The 17,453-nt window shown below is 38.9% G+C and overlaps 1 protein-coding gene across 25 annotated transcripts in view; it reads left to right on the plus strand.

The window, feature by feature from the left end:
* The window catches only part of ABCA13 (ATP binding cassette subfamily A member 13), a 476,040-nt gene that overhangs the window by 203,474 nt on the left and 255,113 nt on the right, over window positions 1–17,453 (plus strand). For 23 of the 25 annotated variants that reach the window (XR_926914.3, XR_926915.3, XR_926919.3 and 20 more), the window contains 4 exons: window positions 1,510–1,641; window positions 12,891–13,028; window positions 14,109–14,289; window positions 16,990–17,208. Coding sequence is in view for 22 of the 25 variants with exons in the window: in XM_011515130.3 (XP_011513432.1) it covers window positions 1,510–1,641; window positions 12,891–13,028; window positions 14,109–14,289; window positions 16,990–17,208 (670 nt within the window). In the remaining 3 variants the exon portion in view is untranslated. Of the gene's footprint in view, window positions 1–1,509; window positions 1,642–6,523; window positions 8,325–12,890; window positions 13,029–14,108; window positions 14,290–16,989; window positions 17,209–17,453 lie in introns of those variants that run through there. The other 2 variants (XM_011515133.3, XM_011515145.3) reach the window with 2 other exon arrangements.

Genomic DNA, 17,453 nt, shown 5'->3' on the forward strand with positions numbered 1-17,453 from the left:
TTAGATTCTCATAGGAGCCTGAACGTTATGTGAACTGTGCATGCAAAAGATCTAGGCTGCATGTTCCTTATGAGAATTTAATGCCTGATGATCTGTCACTGTCTCGCATCACCCCCAGGTGGGACTGTCTAGTTGTAGGAAAACAAGCTCAGGGCTCCCCGTGATTCTACATTATGGTGAGTTGTATAATTATTTTATTATATATTACAATGTAATAATAATAGGAAAAAATGCACAATAAATGTAATGCACTTGAATCATCCTGGAACCATCCTCTATCCCCCGGTCTGTGGAAAAATTGTCTTCCACGAAACTGGTCCCTGGTACCAAAAAGGTTAGTGACCACTGTGTTAGATGATTGTTGACCTGGGATCTGTCTTCCTGGATCCTCTACCCATGTTTTCTAGTTCTTCCTTTCTAATTATCCCTTTCACATGACCACCATCTACATATTTGTTGGCTCTCATCTTTACTCCTAGATTTACTAGATTGTTCCTGAAGATCAAGATCCAGAAATAGGTCTAATAAGCATAAAATAGAGTGCAATTATCTCATACCAATGCAGGCTAAAATGATTTTCTAAAAATCTATTGGCAGCATTTTTTGCTTATATTGAGAATTTGACAACTAAAATTCTAAACCAGAACAGACATATATTTCATAGATATTTGTATGGTTTTTTTTGGGGGGGGGTGTTTTTGTAAACAGAGGTAAAACCATGCTATAAGTAAAATTTGACTCTAGCTATTGTTGTATTAGCCAGTTAATTTGTACTGGTCTTTGAGTTCTTAGAGTTTTTCAATAAGATGTATTAAAATGTTCTTTTACAGATGAGTAATCTTGAATGATTTCTTCTAACTGATCTTTAGAATAAATTGAATCAAAATGATAGAAACAAAAAATGGAAACTGTTAGACCATTTGAATATTTTGGTCTAAATTCCAAGTACACAATGATTAAAATGTATATTTTATTGAACTGTAGCCTGGTACCATAGGGAAATTTAGAAAGGGGAATATTTTTCTTAAGTTGTATGTTAATCCAGAAATAAATCACAAACCTATTGTAAAAAAATAATAATAATTTCCCACCCTAGTTCTTATATATCCTATTATATATTTTCCAAGAGCACAGAGAGTTACACAGTTTAGAATTTGGGTTCTCAAGGAGACTTTAAAAAATTTTTTTGAATGCTTATTTTCCTTAAATATAAAGTCCTTTCTACTCAGGTAAATAAAACCAGATATGAGTAAGGTGACCTTTAAAACTTTTTAAAGTATTAGATATTAAAAAGTAGTTAACAATCCCCCCACCTGATATCATTGAAATAGGTGTAAGATTGCACAAGTTAACATTTCATGAAAAGTTATGGCCAGTGATATTGACCTTCTTTTTGTTTTAGTTCTGTTCAACTTCACTTGAGCTTCCAGAAGTAATGAACTCATCATGACAAAATCTACCATAAAAGAGCTTGTGCAGTTCTAACTCTGACCTTTTTCTTCCTGCTAGGGATTCAATGGAATAATATGTACCAGGCTCTGGAACAAGGGGGCATGACATTTGGCTGGGTTTGCTGGATGATTCTTTTTGATTCAAGCCTTTATTTTTTGTGTGGATGGTACTTGAGCAACTTGATTCCTGGTAAGAATTTTGCCTTTTGTAAGATAACACAATAAATTTTAAAAACAGTTTGAATTAATATGCATAAATATTAGAATAATCACTTATTCTTTAAGGAAGATCCAGAAAGGGAAGTCTTAGGATATATATTTAAAAGGAGCTGTACATTTTTGAGAAAAAATGTGATGCCTTTGTTTCCCAAGTGAAAGGTAAAAGGCCATGTGAGGGAATAGCCAGGATGAAATTAGCATGAAAACTCACCAGGCCCACCAAGCAGCTCCCCAAAAGTGGGCTTCAGTCTACACAGAAAATATCCTGGTTTCTCAGAGAGTGTTTGGGGAGGGCAGGCATGAGGGGGTGAGGGTGGGGGTGCTCAGAGTGCCTTGGCCAGAAAGTCACTCCTAGTGGGGATCTAGGGACCAAGCGCTCAGCCAGTGGCAGGTCGGTGCATGGCAGGACCTGGGGAGAAGCAGGCAGAGCCTAAAGGCAGCTGGACAGGGTGGGCTGGGAGTGAGGGGCCATGTCCAACCACAGGGCTTTCACTGTTGTCACGGATATGGGGTTTCCCAAATGTGGTGGTGCCCTTCTTCCCTGGTGTGGCAGGCATGCCCCAGAGTCTGGAGGACAAGTATATCAATGGCCAAAAAAAAAAAAAAAGGCCAGTAATGGTAATGGGTTTTCCTAGCTGTTTTGGGAGGAAAAGAGGCACGCATACCTTTACCTTTTTGGTTCAGGCCCGAAAGAGCAGAAATAGCACTTTAAAATTACTTATTTTATTTTTTAGAGATAACACTTTGATGGTGGTGTATTTTCTTGCTGAAATTACTTGGCAACTCTGGTTCTATGCTTTTCAAAGCAAATAGTGTCTAACTAAATTAAAACTAAAAATTAAAAAAAATGATTCTAATCTTATACAAATGAAAATGGAGGGATAGAAAGAAAACAAATGCAGTTCATTCTGTTTGTGAAAACACATTCCAGACTTGGAGAGCTCATGAATCATTTAGGGATGGGTAAACATAAAAATAATATGGGCCACTGAAAAGATCATTTTACACAAAAGTAGGAATATATGGCCCTCAAGAGGTAGAGAGAGAACATAAATTGGAAATGTGATTTATTTAGGAAAAACTTAGACTGCATTGTCTTGGTACTTTGAATAAAATTTAAGAAAATAAAACTTAAGAAATAAGATTCTAGGAAATAAAGGATAAAACAAATGAGTTGAGAAGGCCAAGGGTTCAAGGAAATTGGATGAGAAGCAATTGACTATTGAGAAGAAGCAAAAATAACATAAGAAAGTAATGTTACAAAATACATTTGTGATGTCCATCTAAAATACAAAGACCAGCAACAAAGTCTACTCTCTGCAATGTTGAGATGAAGATAAAATGTGTCCCGGGACCCAGAATGATCTGATTTCTCCCTCAACCATCAGCATCTAAGGCTAGAGGCTCTTGGGGCAATATTTTTCTACATTATGGTAAAGCAAAGGAACATTGTATTCAGCTGAGACTTTCCCTCTGAATCCCACTGTGGAATTCTAAATTGAAAAGTTTTAAAAGAGACTGAGCCTTGAGGTGGATGTCTGGTGTGCAGAGGGCTCACTGTCTAGGTCATATTTGAAGGGAAGAAAAGGGAATTGGGAGTAGACTCATGGAGGAAGGTAATTGAACTCAGAAAAGCTGAGTGATGGTGAGAATGTCCTCACCAGTGGGACAGTATTGAGTCGTTCCTTATCCTGTGGGTCAGGGGATGTTTGGCTAAGCTGGTGGCTTTTAAGAAGAAATTCTTTCTAAAGTTCAATGAGGTCAACTTGAGGCTCAGAGGAAATTAAAAAAAATTGTTTTCCTCAGGGGACCAGGAGATTCAAATGCTAGAGTTGGTAATCTTTTGGAAGTACCTTGGCCATCTGAACCATGCCACATTTGGAACTCACGTATATTCGACTGAGGAAACCGTGATCTCCTGTTCCTTCTTTCATCTCCTCCTGTCCTTCCATTCCTTCAGACTCCTAATTCCCTGCCCTCCCATTAGGTGAAGGTTAAACAAACAATCCACCATCTTCATACACTCACACTGCAATCCTGCAGTCTCACAATATGGCTCATGATTAACATCTACCCAATATGTTAAACTTGAGCTATTTCAGAATCAGCTCTTACCCTGCCACATCCAACTGGAGAAAAAGATCTGCTGATTTTACTTCACAAGTCTCCCTTAAGTTCACACGGATGTACCTTTTCTAGGGAATGTCTCCATGTTTTCATCAAGCCATACAAAGTATTCTGTGACCTCTAATGAGTTATGATTCCCAGATACACTGGATCCTACACCCTGCAAAGGGAAGCAAATGCAGTAGGACCTCAATCCACCTTTGAATGGCAGACACTCATTTCAACATTTTGTTTAGTGAATTTAGAGTGGGAGGTTTTATATTTTCTCTTTGTGATTGTGACACTAATTTTAGCTACCAGCTAGTTAGGAAAAAAGATCAGAGTCTATTACAGAATTTAAAAAAAATCAAAGCTCGCACATATTTATAACACATATTTAAAAATACAAAGGCATAGAGCTGAATAAATATGTCAATAAATATTTTTGACTTTATCACAAAATTCAGATTCTTTTATTTCAAAAGCTAAAAATAAGAGTTGGCAATTTGCATATTCTTAAATTGCACAAAGTATTTCTTTTCCACTTTGACAAAGTCTGCCAATAATAACAAAGAATATAATTGCCAGACACTACTGATGGGCTTTCAGATCCATAAAGAGGGTTATAATTTCTAGGAGGTCTCAGACCCAATACCTTCTTTTTAAGAGAAATATTTTATATTACCTCCTTTACTCTCTTGAAATGAAACTTATGGATAATGAAAACTACCTGCATATGAGTCTTAAAATTAATGTAATTTAAAAATTTTAATATAAAAGAGAAATAGAAACTAATTTATAGTAAGTTCTCGGTGCTCAGGCATGAATGCATCGGAACACAGAATGAGATATTCAGTTGCTTATGCTTATGTGGAATAAGTTCGGATTTAAAAGAAGGAGAAAGGTCAGAAGCCATTTGGCACTAAAAGGAAAGAAAATGCATAAGTAAAGAGAAATGTAGATACTAGAAGTAAAGCTAATATTAAGTAGTACTAGATCAGACTTATTGGTATGTGATTATAAAGATGAAAATAACTTCAGTTGAAGTAGGAAAAACGTGGGAAGAAATATTATACATGAATGAAGTGAATAAAAGAATGATATTTTTGTAAATGACCTGGGTCTTTATTTAAAAGTAATCAGGAAATTCCCTTTGTTAACACATGGGGCAGGTAATGACAAAACATAACAGAAGATCCATTTTCTGTCTTACAATTCTATCTCATTTCAGTTTCTCCATTCAGCCTCCAGTCTTTAAAGACGTTGGAGATCTATTCTTTAGTAGTGACAGGAAATAGAGGACTGATTGGACAAAGGAATAATATTAATAATATAAGAGGGTTTTATAGAGAAGCCAAGGGGTGAATATCTGGGAACAGCATCAAAATAAGATTGAAAACTAATAGGGAGCCTCATGTTAATCATCTCAATGTGTAATTTTCACCAAATGGTCTTATTGTGCTATACAGTTTTAAAATATATATATCAAATGACAATGTAACATAGTTACTAACCCTTATTAATACAATTTAGTGCATTTTCTAAATTTCTACTATTCAAGAATATCTGGTTTTAAGTTTGTTAAAAGCAATCTTCACATCTTTTGTCATGTGTTTGTATATAATGGGGCAGAATGAAGATTGATACAGACATACTGCATTGCAAACTCAAACGCAGTGAGTGACATCACTATTGATGGCGTTGTTTTCCAAAACAATGGACAATTTCTGCTTTAAAAAATAATCTTCCACTAGTTTACACAGTGGTTGAATTTCTGAAAAATTTAGTGTATACTGAAACTGCACGGAAACTTTGAGTTTATATGTCCTAGGCTCAATAACCATGAAACACTTTGCATTTGCACGGCTGTGTGTGATCAGGCTCACAGAAGGCAAGTCAAGGACATTTCTTTGTTGCACTTTGTAGGGTATCAACTAACCCAGGCATCTGCACACTAAAGGCAATTGTACCATCCCCATTGTATTAATCATACTTTTTTATTTTCTGTATTTTTGAGGCTTTGACTGGGGTTGAAGGAGTGCAGTTACTGACCCTAGAGGGACTGTTCCTTCCAGGGATAGCCAGTTCCTAGCCATAGTAAAGGACTCACCTGTGGATGTGCCTTTCACAAGCAAAAAACCAATCCAGAGCCCACGCCCCTACCACCTGCTGTACGGGGCGATCACACTCGGGGTCACTGTCCACCTGGCCTGATCAGCCCAGGGCAAGGTACCAGCCAACTAGGGACAGACTCTCTCCCGAAGAGCCTGATGAAATTATTCACAGTAGTTAATTAGAAATGTACTTGCCCTTCCTCACATGTTCCTTCCCTTGAAAACCACAGTAAAGGCTCTTGTTCACATTCCCACAGCACCCCTCCCTACTTCCCCTGTCTCCTGACTGACACTGGTGCTTCCCTGTGTGACCCTGTGTGGTGTGTCATGCCTCCTTCTCTTGGGGTCTGTGAGTAACAAAGTGTAGTTTCAATGACAGTTATCTCCTGATTTGTTGGCATCATCATACTTGAGTAATAATAAAATCTATATTTTAAAACACTGTTCCAGAGTCTCCTGTGGGTAGGAGGGTGTCTCCAGATGGGAGGTAGGAGGCAGGAGGCAGGTGAGAAATTTCTCTCTTTTGCTCTCTGTCACACACATACACATACACACACACACACACACACGCACGCACACACCCCATACCTCAGACAAATACTTTTCTCTCGATTTTCTTTCTTTGTTATAAAGTGACCCTGTGAGTATGACCCCAGCATTTCTCAGCCCCGGTGTCTGACTGGGAGACTCTGTAGATCCAGCATCAGATCATTTCCTGGCCTGCGGGGCTCAGCGTCAACTGCAGGTCTCCACGCTCGAGTCAAGAGCTCACAAGCAAACATCTGGTCCTCTCGAAGAGTTTTCATTGCATAAACTCTTTTTATATGCTTCCAATTAAATTTGATTCTGCTCGATCTGTCTAATTTCATTGACCTCTTCTTTTATCACTGTCAGTTTTGGGGGGCAATGCTGATTAGTTTCCTGGCCTGCATAAGCCAGCAGGCAGTTCCCCTTGAGGAGAAAAGCTCTGTGTAAATGGAGGGCCTTTGCACATATTAATGTGCCCAATTACATCTGGTAATGTGAGCAGGTTGTATGTGCTTCTAGAGTGTGCACGTAAAACAAATTTGAATTTATAAGCAAAAGCCGATTGCAGAGGCAAGCCAAAGAGCTGAGCGGCTTCCACGCCAGCTTGCATTTGGCAGCTCTCTGCTTTAGTTAGATTAGTAGATTAATTAGGGGGTTTTAAAAGTCCAGACAGATTATGGCTGAGATGGTTTAATTAGCAAAGCAACCCTTAATATTCAATTTATTTTTTCATAACTCTGGAATGTCTTTCACGTTTGTTTCTACTTCCCATCCCTGAAGCCATTACCTTAGTTCAGGCCTCACTGTGCCTGATCTGGACTTACAGCGAGTTACAGTGCCTTTGTAACTCCTTCCTACTCCTCTAGGTATCCCCGACCCCAGCACCTCACCTCTGCATCCTACCTGCATGTTGACACAAAGTTATCTTTCTTAAAAATAGACCAAATAGACCATGTCCCTCCCCTGCATGACAGTCTTCCCCAACTCCAAAATGTCTAGAGAATAAATAATATCCTCAGTGGCTCTCAGGCCACCCGAACCTGCTCTGCTGCAGATTCACGCCCCTCTCTCTATTCCCGTTGTGCTGATGGGGAGTTGGGGGGCAGTCTTCAATGTGCCCAGCACACCCACACAGGGTAGGCAGATAAAATACAGGGCACCCAGGTGAATTCAAATTTCAGATAAACTACAAATAATTTGGGGGACATATTCATACTAAAACATTAATTGTTGTTTGTCTGAATTTCAAAATTAATTGAACATCCTGTGTTTGTATTTTCTGAATCTAGCATCCCTCCCAGCATCTCTGTCTTTTCATTCTCATTCCTTTTTCTTGGGTTGAAGGGCCTGCTTTTGTTTTGCATAGGTGGAAACCTATGATGACAATATCATCTTGTATTCTTCTCTCAATGATTTTTTTTTTTTTTGGTCATCTGTACTAGAATGAAGGTCATAAGAAGGCGCAGTCTCTGCCTGATTCATTGGCGTGTCCCTCGTACCACTAGAGGGTGTGACTAGTTGATTTCTGTTTGATGACTGACATCTTCCTGGAACAGGAAGGTATAATCCGGAGAACAGAAGGGCAAGGGATATGATGTTCCAGATCTAGGTGACTTCTGCCCTGCTCCTTTGTCACTGTGCTGAGGCCTCACCTGTCCTACTCATTCTTGGGCTGACAGCTGGAACTGTGAGCCCTGGGAGATGAGCCAGCATCTCTCCTCATACCTCTGTACAAAATGCTTAGTTATTCATTTCTCAACAAAGCATCTCCCACAGTAAATCAGGGCTGCAGGAAGGTGTCATTTCCCAAAGACTCAAGTGAGAAAACAAGGATACAACTAATAAAGAGTAATGTCTTAGCTCCATTGCAAGAAACTGGTGACTCCTGACATTGTTGCAGTTGTCTATGTGTGCACACTTGTGTCTGTGTACATGTACATGTGTGCATGTGCTGCATGAATATGTGCATGTGTACATGTGTACTCGTGTGTGAATGCCTGTGTGTGTGCATATGTATGTGGGTATACGTATGTGTGTGCACACACACACGTATGGTGATCTTCACTTTGAGTCATGGCCCTAAGTTTGAAATCATATTTATCTTTGTACGACTTCCACTTATATCGAAGTGAAGCAGAGCTGAGGCTTGCTTCAGGATTTCCTTGCGTACACTCAAAATGTGAAGGTGTTCAATGACTTCATTTGGAACAGGCAAATTGTGCCTTATTTCACCTTTAGAATGTGCATGTATGAAATATTCTTTTCTCCCCTATGGTTCTGAAAAATTGAGCTATAATACATCAGATGGATATGTGTTTATTGTAAAATGTTTGAAAAGTTTATAGAGAAGCAGGAAAAATTTTTGAGGAAGCAGGAAAAAATTCAGTTATCTCCAATATCACCAACCAGAACTAACATTTCCCAGGCTTTTTCCAGACAGTTTTCTGCACCTAGTTGGGTTCACACTGTATATGTAAATTTCCCTCTGTTTTAAAAAAATATTTTTATCATAAGCATTTATCCACATCTTTGAAAGTACTGTTAATGGCTGCTCAACATTTCATTAAATGAAAGTAATAACTTCCTGGACCTTTCTCCTACTTTGCAAGTTTAAATAATTTCTGCTTTTTCCCCACTATAAGTAATGCTACAGTGAATATATTTATGTTCAGATGTGTGTCCCCACTTTGTCATTGTGTCATCTAGAATCCTAGAATTTTAATTGCTAATTCAAATCTATAAACACTTGAAGGCATCTGGATCCCATTGCCTACTATCCTTGCTAAGGGTGGTGCCCACTTAAGCTGCGACTGAGTGTGGTTGCCTGAGAGGCCTCTGAGCCGAAGACCTGCAGCTTTGTGAGAATAATCTTCCTGATGTGTTTGCTTGCTTTCTGTCTCCTTTGATTTCCACACACTCATTGTTCACGTATGTGTCAACAGGGGCTTTTCGTGTAATTGGTACTGGAAGAAACTGTGCTTCTTTCTTGTTGTAAAAGGCAACCCAAAGCATCCTCATGACTGCACTTGCGTGTTCAGACAGGCAGGAGCTGCTAGAGGAGAGGCTAACCAGTGTGTAGCTTCTGGAGCCATCAGCTGCGCGTCACTGGGCAACCCTTGCTGTTCCTCCTTTTCTTATTGGGAAGGTAGAGGTGATAATTTTACCTGACATGTTGGTGGTCACAGGACTGTGTGAATTAATACAACCAGATACCCTGGACAGTGCCTGGAACACAGTGAGTGGAATGCTGGCTGTGATATGACCTGATTATCCAGCTGCTACTCATCCTCTTCCTACAGAGGGATGGTTTTTGCTTTGCAAGGTTCTTGGAGGACACCTGCCTGCATTAATTTTCTCAGCCTGCCATAACAAAGTACCACAAACTGGGTGGCTCAAACAACAGGAATGTGTTGTCTCACAATCCTGGAGGCTAAAAGTCTGAGATCAAGGTGTAGGCCTGTGTATGTGGGTATATATATGGACTGGTTTCTCCCAAGGCCACTCTCCTTGGCTTGCAGATGGCATTGTCTCCTTGTGTCATTCCTGTGTATCTGTGTCCAAATTTTCTTTTATGAGGACACCACTCACATTGGATTAGTCCTCGCTCTTGTGACTTCATTTTGCCTTCATTACCTCTTTGAAGACCGTGTCTCCAAATACAGTCACATTTTGAAGTACAGGGGGTTAGAACTTCAACATATGAAACCTGCGGAGATACAACTCAGCCCACAAAGAAAAGTCAGTGCTATTCCTCACAGCAGCTGAACAGCTTCCCTTCACTTTATGTATTTATTTTTTTGTAACTTTTAAGTGCAGGGGTACATGTGCAGGTTTGTTACATAGGTAAATGTGTGTCATGGAGGTTTATTGTACAGATTATTTTGTCACCCACGTATTGAGCCTAGTACCCATCAGTTATTTTTTCTGATCCTCTCCCTTCTCTCACCCTTCACCCTCCAAAAGGCCCCAGTGCATGTTGTTCCCCGCAGTGCATGTTGTTCATGTGTTCTCATCATTCAGCTCCCACTTATAAGTGAGAACATGCAGTATTTGGTTTTCTGTTCCTTTGCTAACGATGTTAGTTTGCTAAGGATAATGGCCTCCAGCTTCATCCATGTCCCTGCAAAGGACATGATCTCATTCCTTTTTATGGCTGCATAGTAGTAGTCCATGGTGTATATGTACCACATTTTCTTTATCCAGTCTATTGTTGATGGCCATTTAGGTTGATTCCATGTCTTTGCTATTATGAATAGTGCCACAAAGAACATACATGGGCATGTGTCTTTATAATAAGATGATATATATTCCTTTGGGTATATACTCAGTAATGGGATTACTGGGTCAAATGGTATTTCTATCTTTAGGTCTTTGAGGAACCACCACCTGTCTTCCACAATAGTTGAACTAATTTACACTCCCACCAACAGTGTATAAGCATTCCTTTTTATTCACAACCTCACCAGCATCTGTTATTTTTTGACCTTTTAATAATAGACATTCTGACTGGTGTGAGATGGTATCTCATTGTGGTTTCGATTTGCATTTCTCTAATTATCATTGATGTTGAGGTTTTTCCATATGATTATCAGCCCCATGTATGTCTTCTTTTGAGAAGTGTCTCTTTATATCCCTTGCCCACTTTCTAATGGAGTGTTTGTTTTTTGCTTAATTTATTTAAGTTCCTTATAGATGCTGGATACTAGACCTTTGTCAGATGCATAGTTAAGCATTCCTATACAGCAACAACAGTCAAGCCCAGAGTTAAATCAGTAACAAACTTCCATTCACAACTGCCATACACACACAAAATATCTAGGAATACACCTAACAAGGTGAAAGATCTCTACAAGGAGAACTACAAACCACTGCTCACAGAAATCAGAGATGACAAGAACAAATGGAAAACGTTTCATGCTCATGGACAGGAAGAATCAATATCATTAAAATAGCCATACTGCCCAAAGCAGTTTGTAGATTCATTGCTATTCTCATTAAACTACCATTGATATTCTTCACAGAACTAGAAAAAAATGTTTCAAAATTCACATGGAACTAAAAAGGAGCCCGAATAGCCAAGACAATCCTGAGCGAAAAGAACAAAGCTGGAGACATCACATTACCTGACTTCAAACTATGCTACAGGGCTACAGTAACCATAACAGCATGGTTCTGGTACAAGAACAGACACATAGACTAACAGAACAGAATAGAGAACCCAGAAATAAGAATGCACACCTACAACTATGTGATCTTCAACAAACCTAAAAAACAAGCAATGGGGAAAGGATTTTATATTTAATAAATGGTATGGGGATAACTGGCTAGATATATGCAGAAAATTGAAACTGAACCCCTTCCTTATTGCCATATACAAAAATTAATTCAAGATGGATTAAAGACTTAAATGTAAAACCCAAAACTATAAAAACCCTGGAAGACAACCTAGTTAATACAATTTAGGACATAGTCACGGACAAAGATTTCATGACAAAGATGCCAAAAGCAATTGCAACAAAAGCAAAAATTGACTAATGGGATCTAACTAAAGAGCTTCTGCACAGCAAAAGAAACTATTGACAGAGTAAACAGACATGTCTCCCATTCTGTAGAATTGGAGGAAAATTTTGCAGACCTTCCCTTTACTTTCAAAAGGTAATGGATACATGTGCTCTCCTTTGAGTGCATGAACATCTCTTTCTATTTTTTGATTAGAATGTGCGAGGGCTTGCATATCTCTCTTCTGCTTGATGATCAAAGTGCTATAATAGTCTTTATATCAGCCTTTTTAATTCTAATCAGTTGTAGAATTTAGGCCTTTAGGTAAGTTACGTTCATCAAACTTAAACTAGAATGGATGTGTTAAAAGAAAATTGGGAAATGTTAATAATGAAATCCCTTTTCATTTCAACATGTAATGAGGGCAAAGTGACTGTTAAATGGGCTGAAATGAATTTGGAGAATACTTTTGAAGAATGGTAACGTGTTTCATATGGAAATGTTAGCATTATGAATTATTCTTCTTTATGGAAATTTCAATTGATTAATCCCCTCCTACACTTACCTCATGCTCTTCCTCTTGTCTAGGAATCCATGCAAACATCAAAGATAGGCAAAAGAAGAACAATCACAAAATAGAAGGGCAGTGTGGGGCAGGGTGGGACTTTACTCTGGGAATATTCAGCAATTATCCAAAAAGCATGTATTGAACCCCTACTCTAAAGATAAAGTCTTGGGGGAAGTGGCTGAGAGGGGGTTTTAGCACATGGCTGTGGATCAGGCCGAGAAGGGAGAGTTAGGGCTCCACTGCAAAACTAATAGCTGTGCCCTGGGATATCACATTTTGTATATGGGACATATATTAAAAATATTAACATGGGATGACATTTTATATTAATTACTTAAGATATTCTAATACAGTACCTTCATCTAAATAAAAAATTAAACTAATTTTAATTGTTTCATTTTTTAGGAACATTTGGTTTACGGAAACCATGGTATTTCCCCTTTACTGCCTCATATTGGAAGAGTGTGGGTTTCTTGGTGGAGAAAAGGCAATACTTTCTAAGTTCTAGTCTGTTCTTCTTCAATGAGAACTTTGACAATAAAGGTTTGTAAGGAGTAGAATTATTAGATGCATGTATTTTTCCTTTGATCCATTTTGATTTTTTTTTGTTTGTTTTTATGGTCCAGCCTTTTCAAGTGTGTGCTGATTCCTAGAGAGACTTACATTTAGGCTGTCTTGGGCTGGGAAACAGCTGCAAGCCCAAGATGTGGGAAAGTATGCCATGACAGTGTTTGTTCTGTGAAACCCAGGAAACCCAGGGAGTTCCCATTAATTATTATTTAGCGTCCTCCCCTCTGTGCATTATGTGCATTTGTGTGTATATTACAATTTAGAAAAATTGAAGCGTTAGTCCCAAAATGAATATGTGTAAGAAATAAAAGCAAATATGGGCAGCTACCCTGTGTAAAGCATTTAAAAATTTTTAAGTGTTCTCACCCATGCTGGTTTATTCAGTGTTCCTGTGTGAGGGAGAATATCACTGTCCCTTACAAATAGGGATTGTGGTTCTCAGGAGATAGGGGCAGGACTGTCCCTGTGCCTCTGCACTCCAGAGTCATGGCCTGTTCCTGCAGGTGCAGGCACAGGGCACCTCTGCCAAAGGATGAATCCATAGGCCATCTCCATGGAAATAGAGATGCATCACTCAGAGATAAACAAGCTCCCATCGTGGTGGGTTTAGATTACAAGTCAACATTCTAATCTAAACAATCTAAATATTTTTCTGAATTATGAATCTTTTAGAAAATGTGGAACACATCAACAAGCACCTATCCACTCTCACGTCCTCAGGAGACTATTTCTCATGAACATTTTATGTGTAACTAATCTGCCTGTTGTTTTTTTCTCTACTTAAACAAAAATACATGTGTGTGTTTTTATTTTTTTTATTTTTTACAAAATGGTTATCATAAGGGTTCAAAACTTTGTAATCAGTGATATCACTTAATGTTTGCCATTATATAGTCTGCTTCTTGTTCTTGCTAAAGAAAGATTTTTGAGTTGATTTGTGTGCTTCACAGAGCTGGAATTCAATTTCAAAGCAGAATGCTGAATTAATAAATATGAGCATTATTTTTAGGGCTTTTGAAGTCTTTTCACAATGAATTTTCATCTCTCTCACAGGGTCATCACTGCAAAACAGGGAAGGAGAGCTTGAAGGAAGTGCCCCGGGAGTCACCCTGGTGTCTGTGACCAAGGAATATGAGGGCCACAAGGCTGTGGTCCAAGACCTCAGCCTGACCTTCTACAGAGACCAAATCACCGCCCTGCTGGGGACAAACGGTGCCGGGAAAACCACTATCATGTGGGTCCCATTTTACCCTTATCAAACACTGGGCATTTGATTCTTAAAACTTCAGTTTACCTGTGAGACAGAAGGTTTGATTTCTTTTCCTTTTTTTAAAATTTTGAGTCTCAATACAGAGTTTAGAGACACGGGTGAAAGGCAGAGCCCCTCATGAGTGCCCGTGTGAGAGAGGCCCTATGTCTTCAACCGCACAGGTGCACTGTAGGCCTGGGGCTCAGTCAAAGGGGTAGTGGTGGATAGCTTTTTAAAAGGCTTAATTCTTGTATTTTCTACAAATAATTTACCATGTTGTACTTTAGTCTTTGAAAGTCCTTTGGCACTTTCAGCGTTTGTCCTACTAAGTATCATCTTGCTTGCATATCTGTAGGAAGAGGAATATCACAGTGGTACTTGCAAATTTTTTAAACACCTGATTATTTTTCTTTTCCATGTTCTGGTTTTTGTGTGGTTCTTTTCTCATTAAGGGTAGATGTTTGGTTTAGGATTCAATGGCTCTAGATTTGATTAAAGAATCAAATCATGTGCTCCCAGAGAAACAATGAATTCAAACATTCACAGCCTTGGGCTGGCTGTAGAAGTGGAGGTTTAAGGTTAAACTACTAAAATTATGAAATATCTCTTTTGAACAAATCACTTTCTCTTTTGTTCTTTTTCTCACTAAATATGTAGTATTAAAGTGTGATTAGTTAAAACAATGAAGAGGGCTTTGCCTCAGACTTAATAAGAAAGGTAGAAAAATAACACATGAAACTTCAGAAATCTCATACTGAAAAAATAGAAAGAAAGAATATGGACAGTTTTTATTTGTTCCTTGGATACAGAAATGGACCTGGAAAAGCGTGTGAGTGTTTTTTTTAGTGTTTGAAAATTGGGAAACCACAAGTTGCACAAATAATGACTCAGCCAGCCAGTTCCTCTCACCCTGCTTTTACTAAGACACATTTCTTACAAGGAAAACCTGGGCTGCTTGTTTAGCAGAATGATGAGAATTGCATTTGGAGTTTCTAGATGATTTAAAGTTCAATGACTGTGTTGCTTTTAGTGTACATTTGTAGTACATTTTGAGTCATCCTAAGTGGCTGCCTCCACCTGGCAATTCTTAGATGAAAGGCTGAGAGGTCAGTCAAAGACGGGGGGGTCTTCACTATTTAAAACAACAGTCTTTGAGACTTCTAGGGAATGTGTATAAACTATTTTATAGTATCCCCCAGATAGGTTTGAAAATAATATAGCAAAGAGTTTTAAGTTCATCGAGGTTTAATTTTTGTGCAGTAAACAGTATCTGTTGATGTGTACAGTTTGATGAGTTTTGACACATTTGGTTAGTGCCGGAACAAGCACCACAAATACAGAACCTTTCTATGCTGCTCCAAGGTTTCCTGTGCTCTCCTTTGACCCTGGCCTTCATGTGACCACTGATCTGCTCTTTGTCACTAAAAACTAGGTTACTTATTCTAGAATTTCTTGTAAATGGGATCATGTCTGGCTTCTTGTACTCAGCAGACTGTTTTGGGGACCCAGGCATGGTGGTGGTGGCCCAGCAGCCTGCTCCTTGGGACAGCTGAGTGGTATCCACCATATGGAGGCAACCCAGCTTCTTTATGTTTTCATCCATGGGTTGCAACTGAGGTTGTTTCTCTTTGTCAGTGATTGTGAACACAGCTGCTGTGAACATTTGTGCATACAGCTTTGTGTCGGCACACATTTAATTTCTCATGTGTAAATACTAAGGAGTGGATTTGCTAGGTCCTGTGTGGTAGGGGCATGTTTAACTTTTCAGAAATAAGAAACCAATTTAAAACTTAAATAATAAACTTCCTGAAACAAGGAAGCAGAACTAGGCAATTCTGAGGCTTCTGTTGGTAAAGTCGGTCATGTGAGCTTGTGGTGGCAGGCTGCTTGATTTCTTGTGGTTTTAACACACACAGACTATCCCGGGAGCAGCGGAAAGAAGACTGGCTCCAGGGTTGGGGCCTAGCTTTGTATCTCTGTTTTGCTTATATTTAATGATGAGGATTTAGGTATATATGTCATTTCTTTAGCATGTTTCCTCATCTGTAAAAAGTTGAATGTTATCATCTTAAAGTCCCATACAACTATAATGCTCTATGATTGCAGTTCAGACTTACAATGGTTCAACTTAATGATATTTTGACTTTATGATGGTGTGAAAGTGATACATATTAGGTAGAAACCATAGTCTGAGGACTCATACAGCCATTCTGCTTTTTACTTTCAGTACAATATTCAATAAATTGCAAGAGATATTCAACACCTTATTATAAAATACGCTTTGTGATAGATGATTTTGCCCAGCTGTAGGCTAATGTAAATGTTTTGGGTACACTTAAGGTAGGCTAGACTAAGCTGTGATGTTAGGTAGGTTAGATGTAAATAGATTTTTGACTTACAATATTTTCAACTTTTTATGGGTTTATTGGGACATAACCCAATCAGAAGTCAAGGAGCATTTTTATTTCATGTGGTAGCATAACATGTTAAACTCACATTTTCAACATCAACCAGCCAATGTACCCTCAAACTACTCACACCTTTTAACTGATTGTGTAAAAACCAGGTCAGCAGAAGGTGAGTGCTCTTGGCAGGATGCATGCGCCATCCTGGAGCTGACTGGATTGCTGACGTTCACAGTATCAGCAACGCGTATTCTCCATGCTGTCTTATTTTCTCTGGCAGATCCATGTTGACGGGGCTCCACCCTCCCACTTCTGGAACCATCATCATCAATGGCAAGAACCTACAGACAGACCTGTCGAGGGTCAGAATGGAGCTTGGTGTGTGTCCGCAGCAGGACATCCTGTTGGACAACCTCACCGTCCGGGAACATTTGCTGCTCTTTGCTTCCATAAAGGCGCCTCAGTGGACCAAGAAGGAGCTGCATCAGCAAGTCAATCAGTTAGTAAACAGTTGTCTCTCTGCTCCTCCTGCCTCTGCCCATTGTGTAAGGAAGTGAAGACAATAGAAAGAGACACTTAAAAAATCATCTGTGTCTACATTTATAAGATGAAATAATTAGCAAATGGTTGTTAACTATGGAATTATGACACAGCCACCAACACTGAGAATGTCAGAAAAGGCTTCTGTGGGAAGGCATTGAATTTGATTTGATTTGTCTTTGAAATGTGGAAGAGATGAGCACA

This window comes from Homo sapiens, chromosome 7 (genome assembly GCF_000001405.40).
Source record: "Homo sapiens chromosome 7, GRCh38.p14 Primary Assembly".
NCBI classification, from domain to species: domain Eukaryota; kingdom Metazoa; phylum Chordata; class Mammalia; order Primates; family Hominidae; genus Homo; species Homo sapiens.